General features: G+C 46.0%; 1 protein-coding gene and 1 long non-coding RNA gene across 7 annotated transcripts in view, besides 3 other annotated features; one reads left to right on the top strand and one right to left on the bottom strand.

Moving 5' to 3' along the window:
• PRKN (parkin RBR E3 ubiquitin protein ligase) overlaps positions 1–18,386 on the top strand; it is a 1,380,350-nt gene that overhangs the window by 1,275,123 nt on the left and 86,841 nt on the right. The gene's annotated exons all lie outside the window — the stretch shown is intronic.
• On the bottom strand, positions 109–17,546 carry LOC124901456 (uncharacterized). Its single transcript, XR_007059861.1, has 3 exons — positions 17,249–17,546; positions 2,308–7,627; positions 109–1,490 (listed from the first exon to the last, which is right to left on the bottom strand). It is a non-coding gene; the product is annotated as an uncharacterized LOC124901456 (long non-coding RNA).
• Positions 7,913–8,417: an enhancer, noted in NCBI's record as "NANOG-H3K4me1 hESC enhancer chr6:161865259-161865763 (GRCh37/hg19 assembly coordinates)". NCBI's record gives its function as "activates a minimal SCP1, AML or CMV promoter by ChIP-STARR-seq in naive H9 embryonic stem cells {active_cell/tissue: H9 hESC(naive)}" and the evidence as "EXISTENCE:reporter gene assay evidence [ECO:0000049][PMID:30033119]".
• Positions 8,418–8,924: an enhancer, noted in NCBI's record as "NANOG-H3K4me1 hESC enhancer chr6:161864752-161865258 (GRCh37/hg19 assembly coordinates)". NCBI's record gives its function as "activates a minimal SCP1, AML or CMV promoter by ChIP-STARR-seq in primed H9 embryonic stem cells {active_cell/tissue: H9 hESC(primed)}" and the evidence as "EXISTENCE:reporter gene assay evidence [ECO:0000049][PMID:30033119]".
• Positions 10,261–10,461: a silencer, noted in NCBI's record as "peak6306 fragment used in MPRA reporter construct". NCBI's record gives its function as "represses an SCP1 promoter by STARR-seq MPRAs in K562 erythroleukemia cells {active_cell/tissue: K562}" and the evidence as "EXISTENCE:reporter gene assay evidence [ECO:0000049][PMID:32103011]".

Here is an 18,386-nt window from a genome sequence, read left to right as displayed (position 1 = left end):
GTGTGGGATGGTGCAATAGTTTCCTTAGTAGCTAATCATCTTTCACCCTAAAAGATTTAGAATTAAGTAGAGAAATGTTTTAAAGAATTAAAAAACACAGAACCAATATTTTGTATTAAGGAATTTATACATACTTGAACTTCTAAAGGAATGTGGTTAATTAGTGAAACAGCTCAGCCTTGTGACTTAGCTTGAAACACAATTGAGTAATTGACTGAGGCTAGGGATATTAAATTGAACTCTGACAAAGTTTGTAAACAGTATCAAAGCCTTTCAGAGAACTTAAGGCGCACTATATCTATTGCTTTGATTTATTTATAAGTTATTTAAGTCCTCAGGAAAAACAAAACTATTTTTTAAATCAGACTTTGGAAGTACTTAAGAGTGTGTTAAGGCCGGGCGCAGTGGCTCATGCCTGTAATCTCAGCATTTTGGGAGGCCGAGGTGGGATCACTTGAGATCAGGACTTCGACACCAGCCTAGCCAATACGGTGAAAGACCATCTCTACTAAAAATACAAAAATTAGCTGGGTGTGGTGGTGCGCCTGTAATCCCAGCTACTCAGGAGGCTGAGGAAGGAGAATCGCTTGAACCCGGGAGGGGGAGGGTGCAGTGAGCCAAGATCATGCCACTGCACTCCAGTCTGGGCAACAGAGTGAGACTCCATCCCAAAAAAAGAAAAGAAAAGAAAAGAAAAAAGTAAAAGAAAAGAAAAGAAAAAAGAAAAAAAAGAATGTCTTAAATTTATAAATGTAGTTTACAACGTTTAAAGGTGACACCATTTTTCTACAAAATTAAGGGACCTATTTTGAGGGTTCCATGGACTGGCCAGGAAATCTGCCAAGACCAAAGCAGTCCCCTAATTCTCTAAGTTTCACTCATGGGCCACCTGCTGTCACTGTTGGCAGCTGCCTGTCCACCCAAGCTTGCAAATGACGCATCCTGGATGGCCTTTCTAATATTTATCCGCATTGTACAAAACCACTGTTGACTGCCACTTTCTCTTGGAATCATCTTGCTCATATTCTTGAGACAGGTTACTCTGGCCATTCAAGGATGGGTGGTGCCTCAGCTTTGGGACTGGGTAGGTCCCTCTGGGAGCAGAGGCTGTGGGCAGCAGGTTCCCTCAGGTGGGCCGTGGGCAGGTGGTATCCTGAGGCTGCGTTGCCTCCTGTTGATGGAGTCTGTTGATGGAAGTGTAGTGACAGGCACAAGGAAGGCTTCTCAGTACTCTGCCTATGCTAATCAGGCCACATCCTAACTTTATATTCAATGCTTGGTCCCAAAATCAAGAGGGAGCTGACAGAAGACAATGTTCAGACCTCTCCAGAGAGGTCTTCTCGTGGAAGTCATTGAAGAAACTGGAGGTGTTTTATCTGGAAATGAGATGACGGTAGGATAAAAGAGACCCCTGTTTTTAATAGTTCATTTGTTGCAATGGGAGATTGGCCTTGGGAGGTGTTCAAGATGATTTTCTGCGGTGCTGGGACCTAAGAGAAATAACATGGAAACACGTCATGCAGAAGTTAGCCCCTTGCCAGTTCTCTTTCCATCGGTTCTGTTCTAGTCCTCAAGGCTTCTCTATTACCTGCTTACCTGCCTCTTTAAAAACAAGAATGCAGGCCCTGGGCTCTTCCACAGGCAAAAGTGTTTGACTTTCATATCATTCATATTGTTGATTTTTTGCAGTTGTCTTCTATGTGTGGCAAGTAACACAATTCAGTGTTTTCTATTTACATTAATGGTATGATATTTATTTTGGAATAATTTTAATTAAATTAAGAAAACAAGCCGGGCATGGTGGCTCACGCCTGTAATCCCAGCACTTTGGGAGGCCAGGGTGGGCAGATCACGAGGTCAGGAGGTCGAGACCATCCTGGCTAACACAGTGAAACCCTGTCTCTACTAAAAATACAAAAATTAGCTGGGTGTGGTGGCGGGCACCTGTAGTCCCAGCTGCTCGGGAGGCTGAGGCAGGAGAATCACTTGAACCTGGGAGGCAGAGGTTGCAGTGAGCTGAGATCACACCACTGCACTCCAGCCTGGGTGACAGAGCGAGACTCCGTCTCAAAAAAAAAAGGAAGAAAAAGAAAACATTAAGTAAATCATGGTATGAGTGGTTTATAGATATGCTGAAACTTATGGAGAAGTCAAGAAAACAATTGGGCATTGGAAACACCAGTGCAGATTGTTATGTATTGCAAAGTAGGGTAAATGGTATCACTTGCATGTGGCATGTCAGAGGCAGCCGGCAGGGCAGAAGTTCTCACAATAGATGGAGCTTCGCAACATGGGATGTGTTCTTACCTGTGAGCTTCTGGTTGAGTCAGGGAGGCGTAGGAAGACATCATTTTTCAAGAATGCTGCAGCAGGGGTCCTGCATGCCTCTGGATGGTCCCTAAGGCTCAGCGTCTTTGCCAGTGGCAATCAGGGCAAGTCCTCCTTTGGCCATACACCTTCCCCCTCTTCACTCCTCTCTCTGATCTTAGGAGAGACTCGAAAAGGTATAAAGGAACACCAAGAGGCCTTCTTAAGCTCAAGGAATCAACAGTTTGTTTATTTTCAGTTCCCCATGTATTTTGAGGCTGGAGGATAATGCAGGCAGCCAGACTACCTGTACCTTACCTCTTGGGAGCCAAAGCTATGAGGCAGCTGTAGGGAGAATGAGTAATGGATCAGCAAAGAGGCAGGCACCGTTGGCTCTGGAACAGCTAAAGTCTCGTGGGTGGGTGTGGGGGTCATGGCAGTGCATTGAAATGGAGAAACCAAAGATGTTCCATTCCCAATGCTTCTGTTTTCCTGCACTTTCCCATTGCTTCCCTACACCTGTCTGTGTAGAACAATAACCATGAATGTCATTATAAACTAGAAAGTATGGCTGGTTACGGAAGTCTAGTCAGTGCCTCACTGTCGCTGACTCAGTCCAACACCCACCATCTCTGGTGGGACAAGTCTGCACTTTGGTTCTGATTTCCTCTTTGAGGTCTAGATGCCAGTTTTCAGCAACTACCAAACAGTTTTTCTTGGCTGAGCCTCTTCAACACGTGCACTTATGGGTCAGCTTATTTTATTGTTGCTTTGACTTAAGATTTCCATGGAATATGAACATGAAAAGAGAGTCTTTTTGTCAAACACTGGGAGACATTTCACATATTACGGCCCTGAGTACGTTCAGAGTTACCTTCTTTGAATAAAATCGCCTTTCCCTGGGGCCCACGATGAGCAGTGGGAGAGTACATACGGATAGATGAGAAAAGATTTTTCTCTATGTCAATCTTGAAACCTTCTTTGAGTTTATGTTTCTTTGTTTGTTTTTCTCCCTAGTTACTTGTGTTTTAAGTTGTTGAAGGCAAGTGATCTGGTTGGACAGTTATTTTGCTTAGAGGACATGCTAAATCGTGGGACAAAATCCAATATCAGATTTTGAAACCGGGGCATTACTATTTTATATTGGCAGAATTGACTGAGCATACAAATTATAAATTGCAAGCATAAACCAAGAAATTGTAATAATAATACACACAGCTTCTTTTCTATCAGGTTGGTCCAGATCAATAACCACAAACCATTTATCCCAGACAATGTTCTTACCCGAGCCCTGATGGTCTCATTCATAACACCTGTAAGTAAGCCATCCACCTTTTGTCCCCTTATCACTTTATTCTGAGCAGTCACCATCTCAGATGCACCACCTTTTTAATGTGACCTTGGGGAGAACACACTGGGCTTCCTGTGTTGCCAGAGTCCCAAAGTCATCCTCTACCTTGAACGCTTTTATTTTAAAATAATAGTGCCACTCATTTGGGAAGGTTAACTTGGACTCCAGCTTATAAGGATTGTCCAGCAAAGAAACGAAAGGGTAGAGGAACAGCTAATGCTCCTGTGGCTCATGGCTTCCCAGATCTGCAGGGAGTGCCTTTCCAGCCAGAGATGTCTAGCCTCTTGCCCCCACAAATTAGGAGGAAGCAGATAAAAGCCTTGCACGTAATGTGTAGCAAAAATGCAAATATTTGGATGGAAAAGATATACGGGAACGTCAGCATAGATGCTACCTCGGGGGACAGAGAAAGAGAAAGAAGAGAAGAAAGACGGAAGAAACTGGGATAAGAGAATCGCAAGATCTTTATGTCTGTAACCTTTGCTTTTTACAAATTTGAAGCAAAAATGCCCCCCGAAATCAGCATTAAATCTAAGATGTGGATATGTGAGTCCTGATTACATTAGTCTTTGTATTTTCTGTGTTTTGGAACAATTTCATTACATATGTGTATGTACACATACGTGTATATGCATGTGTATATGTCCATCTAAAATAATCAAAATGCTTAGGATCCAGTTAAGTAATTCATTCAAGGGCTGCATGGGAGTGGCCATTCAGAGATACGCAGACACCAAAGAATGATGAATTTCTGATATTCCAAGAATCCAGTGAAATATTACGGTGTGGGGAAAAGTGAAGATCTTTTATGGAGGCAAAAGGGAGGCGCTGAACAGAATCACGGTGTTTTCCATACAACGGCTAACACACAGATGTAAGATTTGATTGGCTACTGTTGACTTCACTCTAAGGGGGTTGCTTAGCATTTTATTATAAAGAGATAACAATGACCAAGGTCCCTACCTCCCACATCATTCAGTCTGGTTTGAATGAAGGCTATAAGTCTGGTTAAGGTCTAAGATCTCAACACAAAAATCAGGAAGCAGTGGTCACGCACCAGAGAGAAAAAACAGCCTGCTCTCACAACTCCATTTCCAGGGCTTAACTTTCCTCTAGGCCTGTGAAATTTGGAAGGTCCTGAAATTTTCTTTTGTTTTTACATATATGTATGTATGTGTTTAAAAGAAAAAGGAGGCCAGCCACGGTGGCTCATACCTGTAATCCCAGCACATTGGGAGGCCGAGGCGGGCTGATCATGAGGTCAGGAGATCGAGACCATCCTAGCTTACACGGTGAAACGCTGTGTCTACTAAAAATACAAAAAATTAGCCAGGCATGGTGGTGCATGCCTGTAGTCCCAGCTACTCGGGAGGCTGAGGCAGGAGCATCGCTTGAACCCGGGAGGCGGAGGTTGCAGTGAGCTGAGATCACTCCACTGCACTCCAGCCTGGGCGACAGAGAGAGACTCCATCTCAAGGAAAGGAAGGAAAGAAAGGATGGCAGAGGAATATGGGAGATTATTCTCCAACTTGTCTTCTTTACAGGGGGCCTTTTCTAAACTTAAACCAATACACAGAAGAAAAGTTATTTATAACTAAATCAAAATGTAAATTCATTTCTAATGAGTTCAGTTCTGAAAAGGTTTGGGGAATTCTGCTGTTAGGAGTTTCGAAGTGAATTTTAGGGTTTAGCCGCGGGAAACCCTAGATTGAGCATGTCAGAGAGAACCGAAGAATTTAGACACGCAGGAAAAGCTGGTCAATGAACAGCAGCCCATTCTCTGAGTGAAAAAGCAGCTTTCGGTTAACTTCACAGGGGGACTTAACTGTCCTAGTAGCAGGAAAGATGTTGCTATAGTAACGCTCAGTGTGGGGTGAGAAGGAAAATGGGATTAAAAAAGGATATTTTCCTTGTATTGACTTCTTTCCTTAAAGATCATTAAGAAGTCACCTACCCATAGCTAACAGAAAAGAAATCCTATTTAGCCTTAAGGGGGAAAAAAAGCCCACTTTTTCACCTGGGAAGGATAGGAGCTGCTCCCATGTCCTGGGGTACAGAGTAGCTTTTAACTGAATGTAGGGATATTTGGTTGAGGGAGTGGCTGTTGTCCTTTTCTATGTATACAGCAGAAAAATGGGTTGATGGATGGAATTAAATGGCAATTTAAAGAAATCCAAAGAGCTGTCTGTTCTGCAGTTGCCACCTCCCACGTGAACCTCCCTCATTCCTGGCTCCATATTCCTAGTGTGGGAGGATGGTTATAAATTAGATGAGGATGAATTGTTTCGTTTGTGCAGAGCTTTAATTTGATAGAAAGGGGAGGTCTAATAAATCATGGGTAGAAAAGAGGCTGCATTTAGTTTCAATCTTAAAGTACAGTTCAGGTTAACAAGGTTAAAAATAGATTGCTCCAGGAACAGGTATGAATTCCTCCATGACGCTCAGCCATCACAAACATCCTACTCCTTTTATGCTTCTACACAAAGTCAGATCTGGCTCAGACGCCAGGCTTCAGGGCACCAGAGTCTGCATCTGGTAGCGGGGAGGGCCTTTCCCCTCCCACAGCTGCATAGGTCCCAAGCCAGGCCCCTTTGGGTCTCAGTGTCTGCTGGCATCTCCCAGTTCCTCTAAGTCACACTTGGACCTCGAAACCTCCCCAAAGGCCTACAAGCATGGTGCTCCCTGCTCAGCCCCAGGCAGCCTCCAAGCCTCCCTTCCCAAAGGGAGAAATCAGAGAAATCCCTTCTCCAATTTTTTTGTTTTGTTCTGAGATAAGATCTCTCTCTGTTGCCAAGGCTGGAGTGCAGTGATACAATCCTAGCTTACTGTGGCCTCGACCTCCCCAGGCTCAGATGATCCTCCCACCACCCCACCACCACCCCATGCTCCAGATACCTGGGACCATAGGCATGTGCCACCACACCCAGCTAAGTTTTATATTTTTTATAGAGACAGGGTTTCACCATGTTGCCCAGGCTGGTCTCAAACTCCTGGGCTCAAACAGTTTGCCTCTCCTCTTTGTTTATGCTGCTGCCCTCTCTGCTCTGGTCCCTATCCCCGCCACTCCATCTCCCCACAGGAGGCTTTCCAGAACTAAGGCCTCTGAACTCTCCGGGCAAAGGAAACCACCACCCTGCAAGGCTGTCGATAGGGAAGGGAAGGGAAGGGAAGGGAAGGGAAGGGAAGGGAAACCCCTTGTATTCTTTGCTGGCGGCCAATAGCAGGAAAGTGGGCCCAGCTCATCACTCTGTGCAGTCACCTGGCCCCGCACGTGAAGGGAGACCATGCACTCTGCCCTGTGACACGCAGACCTGGTGCGGGGCAGCTGGCCTCTATCATGCTGCACCGATCCCATTCAGCTGCAGCACGGGTGGATGATACAGGTGGCCTCTTTCTCCTGCTGCCCTGTCAGACGCTGGGATGGCAGCCAGCTGACACTTCGATGCCTTGAAGTCCAGGAAAAGAGTCACAGTCATCTTCCTTCAAGCTTGGAGAAAGGACAGTCTTCCCTTATTCCACTCAGAGGTGTCCATGTGTAGGAGAAAGGGGAGGGTGGGCCTCAGCTCTCAGCTCCTCTGATCAATCTACGCTGCTTGACTCGGTGGCCAGGGGCACCACTGAGCCCCTCATGAGCCCCCAGCAACTGCATTCCAGCCCAAGTGGCCCTCCTCCCCTGGGTCAGTGCCGAGCACCAGCAGGTCACATGCGGTCTATGTTTTACAGTCCTGTCTTTGTGGTCAGGCAGCCTCTAAGTGGCCGTCAGAAAGTTGAGCCCCCTCTCCCCGTTCCTGTCTGACTGCTGTACACTCGTGCAGGGGGAGCTGTGTCAGCGCCGCGGCTTTGGAGAGGCTGAGCACGTCAAGTTCAAGAATTATGGGTTTTAGGCAGATGTGCCAGCCCTGGCATCTGGTCCCTGAAGCCCAGTCTACTCTTGGAATCCAGAGTAAAATGTAGGCAGGGGTTGGTTACCTAGAGATTAAAAAAACAAAAAAAGATATTGTGCCAAATGCCCTTTTTAGAAAAGACCATGCTAAGGATAAATGAAAATGAAGACTGGAGAGGTACTGGCTTTTTTTAAAAATAAATAACTATTACATACCTTAGCAAAACAGGAATAAATCTATTAAACTGATAACAAATACCTCTGGCCAAAACCACGGGAAGGCTTTTTTCAAAGCATTTGAAATGCAAAATAAACGACATGTAAAGATTCTGTCCGTACAGCATGTCAAGAGTGCCGTTTCATTCATCAAGGGGAACAAATGTTTCCACCGCCACGCGGTAGCGCTCGTGCAAAGCTCGCTGTTACTCAGGAGCCCTCGCTACCCGCAGACAGGCTGAGCACAGTGAATTAGCCTCTCAGGAGGAACTCAGCTTTTCAGAGCACAACCTCACCACGTCAATTAATATTTGCTGACTGAATGCCTGCTCTGCGTCTCCCACTAACCAGGGGCTGCAGGGACTTCTTGGAGCATGGCAAGCACCCCAAGCGCTAGTTTAGTCTAAATGGAAAAAGCATGCATGGAAATGGAAATGCCGGAGTAAATTCATGAGATCTAATGACCTTGAGGACTTCACACAGACATACACATTCCTGGAGGAAGGTGGTGGGGATGCTTTGGCTAAACCCATTACAGAGCACATTCTGTTCATCAGAGAATGTGTCTTTAAGGAAGAGAATCTCAATCGTTTGCTAAATAGGAAAGACAAGTTGACAGATGATTGGGAGCCTCTTCCAGGCAAGAGGATTTCCTTAGGAAGCTCACTCAGCCAGGCCCATCCCATGAAGCTGCCCTGGGATGGGTCCTGGAGAAGTGGTATCTGCAGCTCCCACCCGCTGGGCCTGGCCTGGCCGATTCCCAGTCCCCCAGTCCAGGAGCCAGAAGCTCCAGAGCTCACCGGCCCCACCCAGCCTCCCACACTTTTGCTCTTTGTCTGCCTAAGGCCTAAGCCTGGCGCCTCCTAGTTAGTTCGTGCACACTGAATCGAATTTCATGTAAATTAAATGCTAACAGGCTGCTGATGCCAGCATCTCTACCTTTGTCATTTAAAGTCACAGGCTCCTTAATGACTGCAATTAGGCAGCTCCGTTATTACTTGAGCTAGAGACGTTTAGAGAGGCATCTGTGATGGCAAAATGCTCAGCGTGCTCCACTCTTTCCATTAACCCCTTGGCTCTGCCTACCGGGGCATCAGTTTAGGCAGGAGTAATATTAGCAGCTGAAGCACACTTGTTTCTACCAAAGGTAAAACTGACTGAACTAATGACTGCGGAGGATTTCTTTCTCTTTTTTTCTTTTTTTTTAAATGGTTATGACCATTTAAAAAAACTGATTGTTCTTATAAATTGCAGTATGTACTGTCCACTCTGGGTTATCTATTTACCATTAATAATTTATATGGTGTGATTTGTAAAACTACTGTCAGGCTTCTTTCCTTACAATGTTACAAAGTCTGTGCGACAATGAACTTATCTTCCAGCGGGCATTGCGTGAGTACCTCTCAGGCTCCCACACCCTGTGGCGCTTCGTGGTACCATCAAACTCCTGCGCTTGATTTAGGCAATGCACGCCAGTTCCCCCGCCCCATGCAGGGCATGTGGTAAGTCACAGTGACATAGTATAAGACCACGCGTGTTGGAGGAACTTCACTCCCTGATTTTTTTTTTTTTTTTTTGAGACGGAGTCTTGCTCTGTCACCCAGGCTGGAGTGCAGTGGTATAATCTTGGCTCACTGCAACCTCTGCCTCCCAGGTTCAAGCAATTCTCCTGCCTCAGCCTCCCAAGTAGCTGGGATTACAGGCATGCACCACCACCACACCCAGCTAATTTTGTATTTTTAGTAGAGATGGGGTTTTTCCATGTTGGTCAGGCTGGCCTCGAACTCCCGACCTCAGGTGATCCACCCGCCTTGGCCTCCCAAAGTGCTGGTATTACAAGCATGAGCCACCGCGCCCGGCCTCGCTCCCTGATTCTAATCCCTACTCATTTTCTTCACCTCGAGCAGGTCAGTTAACCTCTCAGAGCCCCGATTTCCTCATCTGTGCACTGGGGAGAATGGCTTGCCTGAGGAGCAGCGTGGACACATTGGCAGTAAGTGAGAGGGTTTATGTTAAACTGCTGACAGATAGTGATATAAATGTTATGTTTAGTTGTTACGATGTCCAAAATGAAAGGGAAGAGAACCTCTCTTTTGCTTCCTGGCAGAGGCTCTCGGTAAGCTGTTCGTCTCCACGGCTGCATTCTAGCAACTTCGTTGAAAAGCATTCATGGGTGTTGGTGTGTAAGCGGGGCCCCGAAGGAACAGCTAAATTCCAAGCCACCTTCAGCTGGGAGTCCAGCCCGTCCAGTCCAAGACAGCGAAGGCCACCCTTGGTCCAGGTCGCCACCTTAGATACAAGCAGTGCTGCCCTTCCGCTTGGTGGTGCGGAACGGCACGCTATTCAGTGCCTTCTTGTACTCGCCCACTAAGGAGAAGGTCATGTGAATTATCCAAAAGATGAAGCCCGAGATTTTAAAATCATACTGAGTAATGGTTCTGAATAAAAGCCATTTGTTATGATCACTAAAGTAAACCTGTTTGTGGACAGTAAGAATAGTGTCTTAAATCTAGCCTTCAAGATTAAGGACTTTAAACTCATTTCATGGTGTATTTTTTGTGCTAATCATTTTATGTTTTTACTTATCGTAGGAGGTGGAAAGCCCCTTCAATGGCTCTGTACTGACTTTTGAAGTGGAGAAATAATTCTCCTTCAATTTCAGAGAAATTGAAGTTTACTTAAAGATGATTAAAAATCTTTCTGACAGACTTTGAGAAGGTCTCTCTTCTGACTGCTGTAATTTTAAATAATTCAGAGCCAGCTTGGCACATGTATGTTTATTAAAGTAGGGATGAAAATAAAACTCACTCGTGTGGCTGCATTAGCCCACTGAACAGTATTTCATCTTACATCGTCTCTATAACTTCTGAAGTGAAAACCAGAAACTCATTGGCGATGTCCTCCCTGCTTGCTGGGCTGATTGGCATGAGGCAGGGCCAGCTTTATCCACTTCCTGAAGACCATTCCTCCATGGTAGCCCCTTTGCCAGCCGCCAGACGCTCTTCTCAGAGACTCAGAACAGCAGGCCAGGGATGGAGGGAGGGAAGATGCCGGATGGCCGAGGAGCCCCCAGGCAGGTGGCAGCTGCAGCCTTGGCCCTTCCTGGGACCCTGAGGCCCCTGGGATGCCTTGGCAGCAGAACCTGTATCAGCAGGAGCAGCTCTGGGAACTGCGGGGAAGAACTGGAGCTCTCAGGACCCCAGATCCTCAGATCCTTTTTTTTTTTTTTTTTTTTTTTTTAAGAGACAGAGTCTTGCTCTGTTGCCCAGGCTGGAGTGCAGTGGCATGATCTCAGCTCACTGCAACCTCCACCTCCCAGGTTCAAGTGATTCTCCTGCCTTGGCCTCCCGAGTAGCTGGGATCACAGGCACGTGCCACCACGCCCAGCAAATTTTTGTATTTTTAGTAGATACGGGGTTTCACCACGTTGGCCAGGCTGGTTTCAAACTCCTGACCTCAAGTGATCCGCCCGCCTTGGCCTCCCAAAGTGCTGGGATTGTAGGCATGAACCACCGCACCTGGACAGGACCCCAGACTCTTTCTGTAGCTCACAAATCAACAAAATTAGTAAGTATGTGAACTGTGATGCAGAGCTTCCAACCACATCCCAAACTGCCATGGACTGCGCTTCTCTTCACGCTCGAGCAGTGATGGCTGAGCACCATGCTTCTCCGCAGAGCTGAGCTGCTCTTTCTTGCTCCTCACCAGGTTCTCTCCTGCTCCTCCTGCGGTGGCCACAGCTTTGGCTGTGCTGTGTTTTGTGCCGCAGATAGGCCCTTTCTGACTTTATTTGACTAACCCCCCAGAACCCCTGATGGTGTTTAGCTGGCCAAAATTCAAAAATCCCTCTGAGATGCTTGTAGTTCAGAACATTTTTGTTAGGAAAATCCTCTCTCTCTTTACCAATGAGATTTTGCAAGAACAATCCCATCTTTCTCTTTGTCTTTCAGCTGACATTTTAGTCTTAAATTTTCTAGGGACACCTTCAGTTCAGCCTCTTATCACATTAGACTCTTATTTGTATTCTGGAGAGATGCTGGTCTTTAATATTCTCGAAGACAAATAAAGAACCCTCAGAAAACCCAGGGCCATTCTACTTTCTACCTTCAGTCCTGAATGATGTCAGGGAGCTCTCAGGACCTTCAGGTGGCATTGGAAATATCTCTTGGGTTTGGAAAGGGCAATTTAGATCCAAGCAATCTCAGAATGCATTTGTGATAGATATGTTATGAATTTTTACTGCCTCACCTCTTCACTTCCTCCCTGTCTGCGAGGTAGAACTAGGATTTTCTTATCCATTTCCAGCAACTCCCAGACCCCTGGTGAGGGAACCCTCTGTGTCTGCCGACCATGTCTTTGCAGAACAATTCAATCTATCCCGAGAGGCAGCCTCCCAGAGGCAGCAATGGGGAAATGCCAGGCTTCTCAACCTCCGTGTCAGCATTCTTGATATTTGGGGTGGGATAATCCTTTGTCAGGGGGACTGTTCTTTGCATTGTAGGATGTTTAGCAGAGTCTCTGGCCTCTGTCTGCTAGACACCAGTGGCACTCTGTAGTGTGACAGTGAAAAATGTCTCCAGACATTGTCAACTGAGAACTTCTGACATAATGGGAAGGGTAAAAACTTAGGGCCAGGCCAGGCGCAGTGTCTCACACCTGTAATCCCAGCACTTTGGGAGGCCGAGACGGGCGGATCACGAGGTCAGGAGATGGAGAGCATCCTGGCTAACACGGTGAAACCCCGTCTCTACTAAAAATACCAAAAAAAATTAGCCGGGCGTGGTGGTGGGCGCCTGTAGTCCCAGCTACTCAGGAGGCTGAGGCAGGAGAGTAGCATGAACCCGGGAGGTGGAGCTTGCAGTGAGCCGAGATCGCGCCACTGCACTCCAGCCTGGGCGGCAGAGTGAGACTCCGTCAAAAAAAAAAAACAAAAAACAAAACAAAACAAAAAACAAAAAAACCTAGGCCCAAAATACTGATGCTCGAATCTCAGCTCTACTGGGACGACCTTGACCAAGTCTATCTGAGCTCATAGTACCTGCCCCACGAGATTGCTTGCATAATTAAACTCAATGATGTGGTAGCTTTCAGTACATGTTTATTGAAGCCAAATCTCTTATCATCTGTTTTCTTAATTAATGGCAAGAATTACGTTCAGATGCGCAGTAAGCAATAAAAAAAAATCTAGCTTCCTTGTTTCACCAAAGGTACACTTCTAGCTCTTTGGCACAAACCGGTTTAGTTCAGTGTAGATGGAATCGCTCGGAGATCTGGCTTCATCACGGGAGAGAGGACATTTCACTTCTGGTGGTATCTCTCTTGTACCCGTTGAGAGCTGCTCCCACGCAGTTAATGGCGCCCAGATAATTACAGACGGAGCTGCCTTCGGGTTGTAAACAGAGCTTTGGGTGATTGCACACTGCCATTTATCCGGCCTATTTGCATTCGTACTTATTTGCATTTCTACATCTCCCACAGCTGACACTTGTTTTTTCATTTTGTGATTCCAAAGCACTTTTCTGATTACCCTGTGCCTGCTAGGAGTGCTCCCCATCAGGCGAGGGATGCAGCCTCCTTCCCGGCTCTGCCCTCTTGATTTCCTCCATGTTTTTGGAGGGAGGCCAGTTGTTGGGAGACCGCATCTGCCGTGAGCCCGGGACTAATGAGTCATTGTTCTTCTGAGAAGCCCGTTGGCGTCAGCTTCCTTTCAGCTGCGGCATCGCAGGACCTTGTCTGCCTTTTCCTCCGGGTTACACCTGGGACCTGCTGCATTATGTTACTATGACAAGGGTCACCTTACTTTCTCTTTTCGAAAGTGAGATTGACTTTCCTTCTGTTTCTGAAAGAAATGCGACTTAAAATTTGAGTCTGTAGCAATCAGCTTGAGATAGCCTACTCTGAAACTGCTAAAAGAACAGTTTCCATTTAAGAATTTAGCTGCAGTGCTGAGAACATACAACCCCTACCTTTTTAAGCCTCTCATGTGCTTATATTTCTTAAACAAAATGGCTATGTCTATTCCTTGCTTTCAGTAAAAGGCATACTCGTCAGTTTAATAAAATGTATGTTAATTTTCCTAAGCCAATTTACAAGCAGCATTGGTCAAATAGCTACATGCGGGATGATCACCCGAATATCTAATAATGATAGAGCACTTAACGGTTTACTAATTCCTTAACAACATCCATCATCTATTTTTCGATTTTCTTCTCTCTCTCGGTTTCCACATGACCCATGCATTGAAAGATTTAGATTTCCTATTTCGCCGAATTGTACTGTTTTCCCTTCCCTTCTGAGTGAAAGTAAGAAAACCTATGAGTTTAAAGTATGTCTTCTGCCCTACATGCTGTATGTAAAATTTAACAGAATTCAGCCGGGCGCAGTGGCTGATGCCTGTAATCCCAGCACCTTGGGAGGCTAAGGTGGGCGGATTACGAGGTCAAGAGACAGAGACCATCTTGGCCAACATGGTGAAACCCCATCTCTACTAAAAATACAAAAAATAGCTGGGCGTGGTGGTGTGTGCCTGTAGTTCTAGCTCCTCAGGAGGCTGAGGCAGGAGAATCACTTGAACCCAGGAGGCGGAGGTTGCAGTGAGTCGAGATCACGCCATTGCAATCCAGCCTGGAGACAGAGCAAGACTCTGTCTCAAAAAAAAAAAAAAAAAAAAATTAACAGAATTCTCCCTGTAAGTGAATTTGTAAGAAAACAAGAACATTGACTATTCCATTTAATAACAAAACTTCTGGGACAGACCAGCTCCCTCAGTGGATTAGTTAAATGATGTGCAGATTATATTAACCCATGGAATATAGCATCACGGACCCACATACCATCATCCTGACTTAGTACGACTCACACCAGCTCTGTATTTAAACGGATGAGGATAGATGTGGGCTCATATAATTACTGTGTCAATTACAAGGGAAGAATAAACAAATGTTTACCAATCAAGTAGTCACCAGCAACCTGCCTTTGGTAGATATACTAGTGTTCCTATTTGGGGAAAGGTATTATTTATTTTAATAGTTGCATAATGGTCACTTTCAAAATATGCCTTTGACTACGTTATGCTTATTTTCTGCATGTCACAGACTAGCCCTGCTTAGGTGAGCTTAGTAGATACACTAATGTTACTACTTTGAGAAAGGCATTATTTAATATTCCTTTCAGGAACACATTAATATACGATGTCAGAATTATGATGCTTGGTTTTTATACACAGCCTGTCCCAGCTCAGGTGAGGTCACATCCCTTGGCCATACCTGTGTAAAAAGCCAAAGGGGGCCCCTTTTCCAGACAGCAACCAGCCTAGCCCAGGCTCCCCTGCCTTGTGGCATCCACGCCACCAGTCACTGCCAAAGCGCATACAGGAGTCCCCGCTTATCCATGGTTTCGATTCCTGCAGTCTCTGGTACTCACAGTCAACCGAGGCCCGAAGATATTAAATGGAAAATACCAGCTCAACACTTCCTAAGTTTTAAATTGCTCACTGTTCTGAGTTGTGCGATGAAATCTCACACCCTCCCACCTGGATGTGGATCCTCCCTTTGTCTGGCATCTCCACGCTGTAGACACCACGCGCCCAGAAGTCACTTAGTAGCCATCTGGGATAGCAGAGCTATAGATCACAAGAAGAAGGATGAGCGCAGGACAATGAGATATTTAGAGAGAGCGGGAGTCCACATTCACGTAGCTTGTGTCGTGGTCCTCGCACCATTATACCTGCTCTGCTGTAGCACTGTTGTGAATGTCTTACTTTGCTTAATTTATAAGTTAAGCTTCGTAATAGGCATGTATGTGTAGGAAAAAACAGCATATATAGGGTCGGTACTACCCGTGATTTCAGCATACACTGAGGGTCTGGGAACGTATCCCCCTTGGATAATGGGGGTGACTGTGATGGTAACAGAAGCATCCTAGTTGTTATTTTCATAGGCACTGCTACCAAGCTTGTAAACCTCTTCACTGTACCCAGTAGTGAGACAGAGCTGCAGAGGGTGACCGGTCTCCCTAAGTGAATACCAGGTGGAACCTAACACATAGAGAGAGAGGAAAGGCCAATTTCAGACACTGAAAGCTACTCTTACAGATACAGACATTTCAATAGCCAGGAGACCCTGAGGAATGGCTCTTAATCCAGGTGGCCTGTGTATAGACATGCCTGCAAGTAGCCAACCAGGATAATAAGAGTCATCCCCCGGAAGGGATGAGGTCAGAGCAGGAGTTTCAATTTGACCCACGTTCCCATCATGCCTTTCTCTCTTTCTCTCCCATCCTCACTTCCAAATCACAGCCATTCACCCAAGCAGTTCATGAATGCAGGAACCTACCAGGACATTACAAATCATTAAAAATTTAACCCTCCCAGGGAGCAATTACAACTCCAAAAAGGCATTATTTGCACTCTCCGCCCACCCCCCCCCAAAAAAGTCTTGAGTTTGCAGAGAGTGGCCAAAAACATTCTAGAACTTCATGTCTCTATGCCATGCCTCCTCTTCCATCCCAGCGAATGAAATCCACCTGATGAGGGCACACAGCAGGCCCTCCCATCCCGCCTCCTCCTCTCTGCCCTCCCATCCCGGCCCCTGCTCTCTGTCCCTCCCATTCCACTCCCCTGCTCTCTGCCCTCACATCTTGCCCCCTCTTCTCTGCCCTCCCATCCCACCCTCTGCTCTCTGCCCTCCCATCCTGCCCCCTGCTCTCTGCCCTCCCATCTCGCCCCCTCCTCTCTGCCCTCCCATCCCAGCCTCTGCTCTCTGTCTCTCCCATCCTCCTCCCCTGCTCTCTGCTCTCCCATTCTGCCTCTTCATCTCTGCCCTCCCATCCCACCCCCTCCTCTCTGTCCTCCCATCCCTCCCCCTCCTCTCTGCCCTCCCATCCCTCCCCCTCCTCTCTGCCCTCCCATCCCTCCCCCTCCTCTCTGCCCTCCCATCCCACCCCCCTGCTCTCTGTCTTCCCCCACTCCCTCCTCCCCAAGTCATTGCTGGGAGGAGTGGGTCGGCCTCAGGGCCTCCCAGGCAGTCCTTGAGGAAACCACACACTTCATGAGGAAAGGAAATCCTGGAGGAGTTTTCATGTAGATACAGGTTTTATTTAGGGAAAAAAAAATCCAGAAATAAATACAACTGCCTGGAAAACTAACTATATTTTACATTTTGGAATAATTTAAATATCATTCCTGGTAAAGGAAGTGATGCAGAAAAGTCAAGAGAGCTCTGAAGGCAGAGAGAGCTGGATAAGCGGGTCCTGATTCATCAGTGACCTTGAGCTGGCCCCTGACACCTCTGAAATTCCATTTCTGCAATGGTAAAACGGGGATAGCAATGACACCTACATTATTATATTTAAAATGAACACATTTTATTTTTTTAATGCGCCAATATTTGTAAATATTCATAAAGCTCATATGAATATTTGTAAAGCTCTCTGCACAAAGTAGAAGCTCAGTGCTTCTTTATAAACAACATTAACAAAACGACTTCACTTACCTTCACACGATCCCTTTGCATTAGGGATTATCGCCAACCAGGCAGGAGGCGTCAGAGCATGGCTTGATAAAAATAGAGTACAACTATGCAGGGAGTTTTTTAGGACAATGGGAATGTAACCGCTTATAATGCATGTCCAAAAGGTTCCTTGTAAAATATTATCTTGCAAAATGATTTTAGAGTGAAATCATCTCTCTTTTTTCTGGCAAATCTTTGAATTCCACCCAATTTACCTTCATTATATCCAGCTGCACAAAAGCCCATGTGTTATTTCTTCCCATGCTGTCTCACCAGATCTGTCTGTTCACATTAACCTAGTTACCAGTGGAACAAAAATGCAATTGGCCAAAGGTTACATTTCTTTGTCATGAGCACAAGAGAGCAAGATCATGCCGGGCAAAGGCTTTCAGTAAATTTCAGCCAAGAAGTTGGGCTTCTTCCCAGGAACTCTTTAACCCTCCCCTCTCCTTCCTCCCAGAAACACACATGCTACGTTACCCTTGGTGTTTTTCCGCGCCAAACTTGTGGTCTTTTTTTGTTTTATTTTTAAAGATGAATATATTACAGAAAGAAATGATACTGAATTTCCTTCAGCATGCCCCCCAATTTTAGGACCTTGAAGATTTTCATGTTTCAAATTGCGTTAAACTTTTCAAAGAGCTTTCTTTCCCTGCTTCAGCTATAATCCTGAAGAGACAGGTGAAAGATGCTTTGTAAATCCTCATTTTACAAATGAGAAAATTAAGGCTCCAGGAGATGATATGACTTGCTCAGCGATTACACAAGTAGGAAAATAAAGACCCCATTGTGTGTTGATTCTCAAACGGTCTGCATTATAGTCTTGTGTCTACACAAGTCAGCGCACACCCCAGCCTTGGAGAGGATGTTGTTCTGAGGAATCGGAGTCCAGTTCCTGAAGCTTGGGCGGCTCTGGCTTCATGAAGACGGAGTCTGGGTGCAAAGCAGAAACTTAGGGAAATTCCCCAACAGCCGGCAGGCAGATGCCACCCTCCCTCACCCTGCACCGTAGACGTTAGCCTGGGATAATGGCAGAGGAAAAAAGCACACAGAAAACTTTAAGCAGACACAGAAATAAGTAATCATTTTCCCTATGATCTATGGCAATGTTGAACTCTTC

The sequence above is a fragment of the Homo sapiens genome, chromosome 6, assembly GCF_000001405.40.
Source record: "Homo sapiens chromosome 6, GRCh38.p14 Primary Assembly".
Classification (NCBI taxonomy): Eukaryota; Metazoa; Chordata; class Mammalia; order Primates; family Hominidae; genus Homo; species Homo sapiens.
Note: the sequence above shows the minus strand (reverse complement) of the source record. Positions and strands in the feature narration are given on the sequence as shown.